The 12627-nt window shown below is 43.0% G+C and overlaps 1 annotated feature.

The window, feature by feature from the left end:
• Positions 11807–12101: a silencer, noted in NCBI's record as "tiled region #12136; K562 Repressive DNase matched - State 5:Enh". NCBI's record gives its function as "represses a minimal TATA promoter and a strong SV40 promoter by Sharpr-MPRA in K562 cells {active_cell/tissue: K562}" and the evidence as "EXISTENCE:reporter gene assay evidence [ECO:0000049][PMID:27701403]".

A 12627-nucleotide genomic window follows, 5' to 3' on the forward strand; every position in this document is an offset into this window, starting at 1 on the left:
CACATGCCACCATGCCAGGCTAATTTTTGTGTTCTTTGTAGAGACAGGATTTTGCCATGTTGCCCAGGCTGGTCTCAAACTCCTTAGCTCAAGCAATCCACCTGCCTCAGCCTCCCAAAGTGCTGCAATTACAGGTATGAGTCACCACACCCAGCCTTATCCTACATTTATAATCTTTTTAAATTGCTTTCAAAATATTATTGACTTTGTCTCTCAAATAATAACAAACATCTAAACTGTAGAGATTGTCTGCCATCATTCAGCAACTTGTAATGAAAACAAATTGCTCTAGAAATTAGAAGACATGAGTTCCAATCTAAACTCTGCTATGAGTTTAAGGCAGAGTAACCTTGAGGAGGTCACTAAGCATCTCTTGGCTGGAGTCCCCTCATCTGTAAACCAAGATGGAGCTACTTAATGGCTAAAATGTGCTTATTGGTTACCCTGTGTGAGATTCTGTTCTACAAGCTTTACATATATCCATTCACTTAATCCTTAGAATTTGATAAGGAGGTACTACTGTATAGAATAAACAAAGGGGCAGAAATGTGAAGTTACTTGTCCAAGGCAGGCTTGCAAGCAATGGAACCAGGATTTGGACCCAGGCAGTATGGTTCCTGAGTCCATGTTCCTAACCATTACATTAAACAGGCTCATAATGCATGCTGCATAATTCCAAGCAGCTCCAAAGTTCAGTAATACCACTTTTAAAATCACCTTCAGTATGCTCTTTATTATAAACATAAGGACCCAATAAATGTTTGCTAAAATAAGTCAACTACTTAATTTCAGGTTTGTTACCATGATGACCTGTCAGGTTGCCTAAGCATGGTGGACTAGATTTGACCGAGACCATTTTCACAGGTCACTAGTTGTATTAGTCCACTTTCATGCTGCTGATAAAGACATACCCAAGACTGGGCAATTTATAAAGAAAAAGAGGTTTCATGGACTCACAGTTCCATGTGGCTGGGAAGGCCTCGCAATCATGGTGGCAGGCGAAAGGCGCGTCTTACTTGGCAGAAGGCAAAAGGCATGTCTCACACGGTGGCAGACAAGAGAGGATGAAGTGAAAGGGGTTTCCCCTTACAAAACCATCAGATCTCATAAGACTTATTCACTACCACATGAACAGTATGAGAGAAACTGCCCCCATGATTCAATTATCTCCTACGAGGTCCCTCCTACAACATGTGGGAATTATGGGAGCTACAATTCTAGATGAGATTTGGGTGGGGACACAGCCAAACGATATCACCAGTGATGGATTCTAATCTGACGGACTTTCAAGCACTAACTTGGACATGAAATGCCTGTCTACATTTCATCCTATATTCAGAATTTAAGTTACTTATGGGTCAGCTTTTATCAAACACCATTTGTTTCTTGTAACGTAAGATGAAAAGATGTCCCCAGAATTTTTTCTACGGCAAGTCCTTTGAAAATGTATTACATGCTACTACTGATCATATAGTTGGTGCCAAAATAGGCAGTTCCAGCTGATGACACAACCCCAGAATATAAGAGGTAGCTTTTGCCAATAGGAGCAGAAGCAGTGACCTTAAAACATGAGCGTTAACCTGGGTATGGCAGATGCTGTCAATAAACCTCTCATATCCCCCTCTCCCCATGTAGAAGTCTTCAGAAAACAGTACCCACAAATACCAAAAGATTCTAACCTTAAGCACCTGTATCTCGCTACCCAGTGGCATGTTCAGCCCAAGCTTAGGAGAGACCAGAAATGCCAAAGAATTAATGTGCACAGGAGCAACCCCCAACCAATGAAGAATAAATAATCAACTTCCTTCTCCATCAACAGGCCAGTTCTGAGGCATGTTTCACCTGTTTTCTTAGAGGATACCAGAGGAATTGAGTCCTCATGCCCAGAGTGGTCATCAATATATCTGTTGTTGACTTCCCCCTTCTCTGTCTCACCATCTCATTCTTTCACCAGGCTTCCTCGGATTATTTCCCAAATAAATGACTTGCATTCAAATCATTATCTCAATTTTGGAATCCATCATTTTTAAGAAATTTAAACTAAGACACTGAACCTTCCATTCCATGTTTGTTCATTCTTATATCTCAGTTTTAGGAGCTGAGATCTTCAAATCAATGTGGCATCATACCCCCCATATCAGCCATCTAATAGTGCTTTGAGTTTGCCACTTGGGGAAGCCACCAATTATGCATGACAATGCTTTGCAAGATTGTATAAATATACATTGAACACACAGACACACACACACACACACGAAGCAAAATAATTTGGAGCAACACTTCCCAAAATACATTCCAAGGAACAGTAGTTTCCACAGAATTTTCAATAAATTTTACTTGAAAAACCATCCTAATGTCAAATAAATTTTAGAAATGATAAGTTACAGAATAGAGGGATGTTATATACACCATGATTCTGTTGCGCAAAGAAAAAACCACATCTATTTTCTATACCTGATCTCATCTTCTTTCAGGGCCTTCATTCCCACCAACAGGAAAAAATTAAACTTTCCATTTAAAAGTACCTCAGTGTTACCAATTTTGAAATGGTCTCTTTGGAGGTAAATATTTAGCTAAGTCAAAGTTCAAACTCCTGGCCGGGTGTGGCGGCTCACGCCTGTAATCCCAACACTTTGGGAGCCCCAGGCAGGCAGATCACTTAAGGCCAGAAGTTCAAGACCAGCCTGGCCAATATGGCGAAATCCTGTGTCTACTAAAAATACACACACACACCAAAAAGAGCCAGGCATGGTGGCACACACCTGTAATCCCAGCTACTTGGGAGGCTAAGGCACAAGAATCACTTGAACCTGGGAGGCAGAGGTTGCAGTGAGTCGAGATCACACCACTGCACTCCAACCTGGGTGACAGAGCGAGACTCTGTCTCAAACCAAAACAAAAAGTTGAAACTCCCTATCAGAACTTTTTCTCCCTTCTCAAACAGTGTCACCACCACCATCTCAAGGTGGCTTCTGTGCACAGAGTGAAGTACACACATATCCTCATGGCGGATGGAAGACAAGGAGGGCACTCTGCTCCACGTGCTGTCCTCTGAATGGCCCTCTATGCCCTTTGCTGAGGCAGACCCTCTGCCCAGCAGAATTACCGAGAGAGACTGTTAAGAATACAGATCCCCAACTCCTTTCTCTGGATGTTTTGATTCAGGGAAATTGGAGGGAAACCTAGGAATCTGTGTTTTTAACAAGTTTCCCAGAGGGTTTTGATGTAGCCAGGACATAAACTGGCATTTGTGAACCATTAGTATACCCCACCCTGTTTCCTACCAAGCTTTGAACTTCATTCTGTACTGTGAAATAGACTCATAACCCATTATCTCACATTAAGGTGTATATACACGGTTTAGTATTGTCATCATCTTTATTCATTTTGAGGCATACAGGGGGCAAAGAATATAAGGTATCCACAGTGAATCTTGGCACTGTTAGCAATTTGGCACTGATACTGCAATTTAAATACAGTAATCACAGAATTTTCAAAACAGAACTGAGGAGACAAAAGGAGAAATAGGATCATCTGGTATTAATTCTGGTTATTTCAATACCATTAAGAAGGAGGAGGTTCTAAGAAAAGCCACACAAAATCCCTGTGGGAAAGGAGGAGCAGTTTCATAAAGAAAGATAAAAAGATTTAAATATAATTTACTTTTACTAAAAAACACATCTAAAACCCTGAAAATTATATCTCATTTAAAAGCTGCTGATAAAAGAAATTTGCTAATATTTTTCTATAATTTTGTACCTTAAACGTTACATAAATTATTAGTTGTCTCTCTGGTATTTGTATAATAAAGGAGTTTATAATATCACACTTTTGAAGCATTTTTAAATTAAGTATCACATTTAATGAATAGAATTTTTTATATCACTTCAAGTTGATTTCAACTAAATTTCCACCCCCAAGAAATCCTTACATTTCAAATCCTATCAAGTGAAATTTAACCTTATAAAAATCTGATCCAAAATATTATGTCAGTCTATTTTTTCAAGAATAATCTTTTGTATCAATCAGAACATATTAAATTGGACTATGGTTACAAACAATCCCAAGATTTCAACAGCTTGACGCACCAAAGTTGTATTTCTTGCCCACATAAATGTCCAACATGGGTCAGCTGGGGGTTCTACTGACCCCAGTCTCTCAGGAGTCAGGTAGACACGGTTCCATCACAAGTGCTTCCAAGGTCTCCACAGCAGAGGGAAGGAAACATGGCAAATTGTGACAAATTTCTTCTCACATTTCATTGGTCAAAGTAAATCACATCATTACCCCTAATTTCAAAGGGTGGGAGAATACAGTCGTACCTCCTGCCATCTTGCAGGAGGAGAATTGGAGTACGCATGACCGGCCCTACTGACTACCACACTTGCCTTTGGTTTTCATTTCCTTTGGACCTTGGCACCATGTAATAATCCACACTGTTCCCGTCTGGGACTCATATTATCAATCCAACAAATTTATATTATCATATCACCAACAACAAACATTGAATTATTTTAGAACTATCATATTAAAGCAAAGTTTCCTTTCTTTTTCATAAAAGCAGTAAGTCTAGTACATCTAATTTAGGCAGAGTCAGGGTACTACATGTAAGTTTTTTTAAGAACAGAAGTTGGGTTCAGGCGCAGTGGCTCACGCCTGTAATCCCAACACTTTGGGAGGCCAAGGAGGGTGGATCACCTGAGGTCAGGAGTTCAAGATCAGCCTGGCCAACACGGTGAAACCCTGTCTCTACTAAAAATACAAAAATTAGCCGGGCATGGGAAGGGGTGCCTATAATCGCAGCTACTCGGGAGGTTGAGGCAGGAGAATCTCTTGAACCTGGGAGAAGGAGGTTGCAGTGAGCCGAGATCATGCCATTGCACTCCAGCCTGGGTGACAAGAGCTAAACTCCATCTCAAAAAAAAAAAAAGAGAAGTTGGTAGCCTGGCTGTGGCAGAGATGACTAGTTATTCACCAAAGACCGGCCCTCTGTCTCCACCCCATCCCCACCCCCACCATAGGTAGAGTCACTGCTGAACTGAAACAGGAGCTGTATTTCTCTGACCCCCATTCTCACAATAGTCAATGAAATGTTGATGGAAGCGGCATTTCCCATTGTTAGACCCAGCCCTAAACCTCCTGCACCATCCTCCACTCTCATCTTCTGGCCTGGTATTGATGCCTGAGGCTTTCTTGAAAGCCACGTGTTGAAGAAAGCAGAGCCCCTGTCATCCCAGTCTCCAAATGACTACATCACACAGACCTTCCACCAGTCTCCCTCCCTGCTGACAGTACATATAAACCTATTACAAAAAATAGTTTCATTTTTAAAGTTCACAAAAATAAACTTTTATTATGGTAAACTTTCATAGTGATGGGGTAGAAGAATAAATTGACAAAACACTTCAAAAGTGTGAATTTAAAGTTTCTGGCGCCTGGGCGCGGTGGCTCGTAGCTATAATCCCAGCTCTTTGGGAGGCTGAAGCGGGCAGCTCACTTGAGGTAAGGAGTTCGAGACCAGCTTGGCTAACATGGTGAAACCTTGTCTCTACTAAAAATACAAAAATTAGCCAGGCGTGGTGGCAGGCACCTGTAGTCCCAGCTACTTGGGAGTCTAAGATCTGAGAATCGCTTGAACCTGGGAGGAGGAGGTTGCAGTGAGCCAAGATGGCACCACTGCACTCCAACCTGGGCGACAGAACAAGACTCTGTCTCAAAAAAAAAAGAAAAGAAAAAGAAAAAAAATTTCTGGGGTTAGCCTTGACAATGACAAGTTCTAACAATGTAATCCCGTAGCTACCTATTAATCTCTCTTCATGTTATGTGCACCGTCTGATTAGAACAGAATTTCCTGGCGAGTGAAGGAAGAACTGCATCGTTATAGAACAGTTTGGAAAAGGCAACAGGGTAGGACTGCCAGTTTCTAGTTTTGTAAAACCCTTTACTTATCACTTCCACTCAACATAGAGACAAGATATAATCATGACATCAATGATTGTCTAATGGTGGAAGGCTATAATTCTAAGTGTCTCATGATAGAATTCATAACACGTGAAATTAGATGTAGGATAGTACTTAAATTTTATCATATTCATAAAGTTCTATTATGTATAGTATTTTCTTGGCAAACATAATGCTATGGGTTTGCCAAACCTATTTTCTTTTCCCTCTAGTCACATAGATAGGCTGTATTTCCCAGCCAATCCCATGGTTAGATGGGTCATGGTGACAGAGTTCTGGCCAACGGAAAATGGGCACAAAAATGTGAGCCATTCTCAGACCGAATGGAGAACTCAAGGCCCAAGGGAAAATCAGAACCACCAACTAGAAGGAGGCAGGTCCAGAATGAATGATTAGAACAGCTCCTCTCCATCCAACCTGCATGGGACTATAGGGTGAAAAAGAAATATGCCACTGAGATTTTGTTACAGCGATCAGCACAGTTAGCATAACATAATGAATATGTTAAGACTATTTCATTTGTCTCAGAGAACTATGTCAAAGATTAAAACTGGCAGGGGTGGGGGTGGAATGTTAAGTATACTTGAATAAAGCCATGATTTTAAAAAGAAAGCAGGGGGTCTTTAGAGATGTACTGCATCCCCTCACCTACTCCCACTTCCACCCTGTTCAATTTAGTTCTTCGTAATTATTTACCAATGTCTACAAATGAAGGCCATGTTTCTTGCCATGGCCTTCTCAGGAACACCATGGCTTGACCAGAGCCCACCCTCCTTGGGCCTCCTCTCCCATTCAAGGCTACTTAAGTGAATGAATTTCACTCTTCTGAACTTTGGCTGCCTTACACTATTCCCTCTCTGGAATGCTCTTTCCCCTCACCCCTGCCTAGCTGAATTGCGCTGTTCTCCCTGCCACTTCTACTGCGGCCTTTCTGCTGGAAGGCTCAGTTGGAAAGGGCAGCATCCTGCTGTGACTCCTGCAGCCCTTTCCCTGTACAGCCCGGAGGACACTTCTTACATGCCATGCTTTGTGATGATGACAGGTGCATATCTTCTCTGCCCTGCTAGGTTTCAAGTTCCATGCACACAGAAACTCCATGTGCCATTATATAAGATATTCAATAACAAATGCTTAATGAATGCATGAACACAATGCACTCATGGCATTCATTTATTGCATAAGTCAATGAATAATTGAATGGAATGCCACAACATCAGCTTGAATGGAAGACCCCTTTCCCTCCAAATGAGTCTGAATTACCCGTGGCCCCCAGCTAATATAAAGATGGAGCCACTATGCCAAGGGCAGAGCTTATGAGAGGCAAACCCAACAATTCCAAACTAGGCTCCACTTGAAACATCAAGGTTCACATGGAAAGGAGTCTGCAAGAATGTAGCAGGAAAAGGAGGGTGGGGTGGGCGAGGAACACTCTTAATTGTTTAAGAAAGTATGGCCAGGTACAGTGGCTTATGCCTGTAATCCCAGCACTTTGGGAGGCCAAGGCTGGAGGATTGCTTGAGGCCAGCAGTTCGAGACCAGCCTGGGCAACACAGCGAGACCCATTTCTATGACAAATTTAAAAATTAGCCAGGCATGGTGGTGCACCACCTCTAGTCCCAGCTACTTGGGAGGCTGAGGTGGGAGAAACTGCTTGAGCCAGGGAGATGGAGGCTTCAATAAGCCCTGTTTGCATCACTGCACTCTAGCCTGGGAGACACAGTGAGAACCTGTCTCCAAAAAAAAAAAAGAAAAGTATGAAAGTATGGAAAGTAGCTTAAATCTTCAGGTAAAATTAATTTTTGACATTCACATACAGAAAAGTGATCATTGAGTGCACAAGCTTTGTATGTGCCAAGCTTCATGAACTTCCACAAACTGATCATAAGCTAGGCCGGCACCGCATCAAGAAACTACCAGCAACCCAGAAGCTCCTCCCTTTCAGGTTGTACATACTATTTTAAAAGAAAAGGAGGCAAGAGGGGAGGAGGAGAGAATGAAAAAGGCTGGAGGAATGGAGACTGCCAAGGCATCTATTTGAAAAGAAAATGAGAACCGCTATGGCAGCAGAGGGGCACACCCGGGGGAACTCGAGCCCTCACTGAGACACACCCTGCAAGGCATTTCCCAATCTGCAGAAAATTCTCACTTGATTCAACAGACACACATGATGGGTAATTCCAGAAAATGCAGGCCAAGCTTTGAAGGCAAAAATATTCCTCCTAGGTATAGAGCAAGGCAGGTAGAGATCCCTTCCTGTCCCGCCCCAGGTCCCTGCAGGAGCTAGTGCCCGTGGCCCGCAAGGTCCTTGTCTACCCATCAGAGAAGAAAGCAGTACAGAGGCCACTGGAATAAAGTTGATTTTTGCTTGAAAAGAAGAAGAAGGAGGTGCAGGGCCGTGGCCTCACAGTGACCCGGCTCACCCTCCTGGGGACCAGAAAAGCACTTGGCTCCCGGCCAGCCCCAACACCCACTTCCCAGCCCAAGCCTGCTTTGCTCCTGTGACCTTTTTCTGAACCTGGAGAGGTGGGGCACCCTCTTGGCTTCCTTCCAGCTGGATGTGACTCCTGCCAGACTCAAAGCTGAGAACCCAGGGCTTTGGAAGGAACAATGTTCCCTAAGAAGGCCTGAGAAGCAGCTCCTATTATAATCTCCCTTCCAGCCTCAGGGCCAGGGATTTGAGAGCAGACTCCAACTAAGCTGGTCTACTCATTCTTCCTCTCTCCTAGGACCCTCTGCTATGCTCTTGAACAGGGAAAATCCTATGAAGGAAGGAAACAGATTTGGTTCGGAAACTACTCCCTTATTGCAATCAGCTTTGTCTCTGTCAGGATCATGGTGTGTGTGTGAGACGTGGATGAGACAGTTAGGTAGGTGACTAGATAGGTGCATAGGTAGGTAGATAAAATTCCTTAGCAGCAAGCAGGTAATTCTGAAGGCAGGGACTCAGGGATGGGTCTGGATATCCATTCCATGGGAGGATTTCTGGCTCACAGGACACGGTACCAACGGTCTTTGGTCTTATACTTCAGTCAATATTAGGAATGGAACAACAAAGAAAACTACTAAATTGGACCAAATAAGAGCTATAAAGGAGATGTTTCTAAAGGATTGTGGTTTCTTATAATGTCAAACTAGGTTCCCTCCTAAGTTCCACACCCTACAGACCATTTTCCTCCCAAGTTTCACATTGCAAGGTTTGAAGAGGAGGCAGATTGGAGAGTTTTACGTTACATGGTTACATGGAAGGGAGGGGCTGTCTGGGTTTTGGTTAGTCTGGGAGGCTTTGCGAATATCACTCAGTACTCCCATTGCTTCCTGTAAATACAAAGGAATCCAATGGCTTCCAAAAAGAGAGACTCTATACAAACTAACCATTCCACCAACATTTATCAAGGCCTTGGCTTTGTATGTGGCAAGCACTGTATTAAGCTCTGGGGAATACAGCGAGTCAATACAGAGCAGTCACTCAAAGAACCCAGTCGGGTAGAGGAGGCAGCCCAGTCACCAGCTGTCCTCACCCAGGAGAAGTGCTATGATGACTGCCACTTACCACCTGTGGCACCAAGGGCAAGCCACTCAACTTCTCTGTGCCTTGCTTTTAGCACCTGTAAGTGGAGACAATAGTAGTGCCTCTCCCCTTGGAAGGATGTGAGGATTAAATGAATGAATGTACTAAAGTTCTTAGATCAACGTAAGACTCAAAGAAAGTGCCATAAAAGAGTTTGTGAGCCAGGCACAGTGGTTCACGCCTGTAATCTCAACACTTTGGGAGGCCAAGGCAGGCAGATCACTTGAACCCAGGCGTTCCAGACCAGCCAGGGCAACATGGCAATATCTCATCTCTAGTAAATATACAAAAAATTAGCCGGGTATGGAGGCTCACACCTGTAGTTCCAGCTACTTGAGAGGCTGAGATGGGAGGATCACTTGAGCCCGGGAGGTCAAGCCTGCAGTGAGCTGAGATTGCACTACTGTACTCCAGCCTGAGCAACAGAGTGAGACCCTTCCCTAAAGAAGAGCTTCCACTTATTGGTGGTGATATTGTTATTGTGGTGGTTACTATTGGGAGAAAGCTTCCCTAACCCTATGCTTTCCTGACCAGAAAGCCCTCTCAGTGGAGGTTACTCACTCTGAATACCAATGAAGCAGGAGCTGGTCAAATGGCTGAGGGGATGAGAGAAGGGGGAGGGAGAGGAGAGAGAATGAGGGGAGGGAATAGGACATAGGGAGTGGCACACAGAGGCACAGAGGTGTGGTGGAACACAGAAGGTATGAAAGCAGAAATTGGTGGAATTCAATCATGGAAGGGAATTGGAAGAGGAGAATCTGGAAGAAAGAGTTAAGGATAGTTCATAAGGGATAAATCATAAAAGGTCTAAAGTATTATGCAGGCCAGGTGTGGTGGCTCACACCTGTAATCTCAGCACTTTTGGAGGCTGTGGCAGGTGGATAACTTGAGGTCAGAAGTTCAAGACCAGGCTGGCCAATGTGGTGAAACCCAGTCTATACTAAAAATACAAAAATTAGTTGGGCATGGTGGCGCATGCCTATAATCCCAGCTACTCGGGAGGCTGAGGCAGGAGAATCACTTGAACCTGGCAAGTGGAGGTTACAGTGAGTTGAGATCACACCACCGCACTCCAGCCTGGGAGACAGAGCTAGACTCTGTCTCAAAAATAAAAAATAAAATAAAAATAAAGTATCACGCAAAGATTTTGGATTTTTAAAAACCAATTTATAGAAAAATCTTTTCCAGAAATTTGTGAAGTGCTTACTACTATGTATTGTCAAAGTTTAACTAAACAAGGAAACAGAAAAATGTGCTCAATGGTCAGTTTCTGATACTAAGAATGGAGAACAAAGTGGAAGGTCCCATAGGGACCTAGATCTGGCTGTAGGTCCATGGAGTTGTGTTGACTGTGACTGATTTCCCATAGCTTCTTTTCTCAGAACCTGAAGTGGCTCCCCTCCACCCACATGGCATAATAATAGCCTACATTCCTAATGGCATCAAGACTGTGGTACAGTCTCCTACAATCCTCCCTAATCCCATTTGTCCTTACAGTCAGAGCCCTGACATTTGGTTCTGGTGTCCACCACTCTCTAGCCAGCCAGAACTCAGGGGACAAATTCTGATTAGCTTAAACCATTCACATAATTCTATCCCCTTTCCTATTGATTGGCTGAGGTATCAATGCGCCCTTGCCACAATTCTGGCCAGAGACATAAGGGGACCCAGAAGACCTTTGGGAAAGTCTTCCTCTCTCTGAAAAAGAAACACACAAGATGGCATGGACTCTTCTTCCTCTGTGTGTCGTGTTGGTGTTTGACACCTGGAATTCTGTACCTTCTAGAGTCATCTAACATAATATCTTACATAGTACGGTGAGATAAGTTTTTGTTCCATTGAAAACTGAAGATTTATAACAACTTCCTGTGAAATATGTAGGGTGGTTGTTATCATTTGGTAGATTAGGAAGCCAAAAGAAATGAAGGGGCATATATGAGGCCTAAAGAATGTGCAGAAATAAACCTAGGTCTCATGAATGTGTGTGTTTCTACAATACCAGGATGCTTCTCTTAAATCTTACCAAATACAGACCAAAAAATATCAGGCACAGCTTCATAAAGGTTTGCCTTTGTGCTCGGACAACAAAGCAAGGTATGAAGGTGAACTAAACTGTCAGATTAGATTAAAATGCCTTTTTGCATTTTTATCACAATGTATAAATCATCTGAAGCTGAGCTAAAAAAAAATATGACAAGATGATCATGTTTTTTCAAGATGAAAGATTCCCTCGAGTCTGAGTGACATAGCTACTCCAACAGTAAATAACCAATAACAGAGTTCCCAGCCAGTATGCCCAAAGCGGTGAGGTCCTTGGGGATGCACCCGTTGTCTCACGCTTTGAGGAGCTTCCTCAGTTCACCCCAGTGTGCCATACACATGTCACCACTATTTACATGTGGCAACACATGAAATACGTATGGGAAGCACACACTTGTCTGGCCATGTCTCTCCCTGTCTCTCACACTGCTATCTTTCTCAGACTCTCCATTTCAGTGAACTGATCTGTTCACTGTCCCACAGATGCCTTCTGGCTTGAGGACTTGCCCCTGTGATTCCTCTTGCCTTGAATCCTGGACCTTCCCCTGCACATTTAAAACAAAAATTTTCAAATCTCACCCAAAGTGAACTCCTCCAGTAAACTGTTGGCTTGCATAATGAAAGTTACATCACACAATTAAACCGCTTGGACTGCATATGCTAACGCATTGCACATGTTATTCTTTCCTCTGCATGTTCTGTCTCTCCAAGTAGACCATAAATAATCTCTCTGAAGGCTGTTGGAAAGAGCCTTCCTCAAAACAAATAATTTTTAATGTCTATTGATCACTGATACTTCCTACTGTGTTCTTATTTTCTAAACTGTTCTATCTTGTCATTGCTGTGACCACTGATATGATATAGAAGGTCAGAGCCTTTGATTGTGTTTTTTTTCCCAACCAAAATGATTTCTGTGTCCACAGATTCACAGAAGGGAAAAATATTATTAAAATGGGATATTAATGAGGACTGAAGGTCTTCTAAATATTCTGGGGATATAAAATATTCTTACTCGTAAAGGATGCCTCTACACGGAGGAAGTATCCACAGAGGAAGGA

Source organism: Homo sapiens, chromosome 7 (assembly GCF_000001405.40).
Source record: "Homo sapiens chromosome 7, GRCh38.p14 Primary Assembly".
NCBI classification, from domain to species: domain Eukaryota; kingdom Metazoa; phylum Chordata; class Mammalia; order Primates; family Hominidae; genus Homo; species Homo sapiens.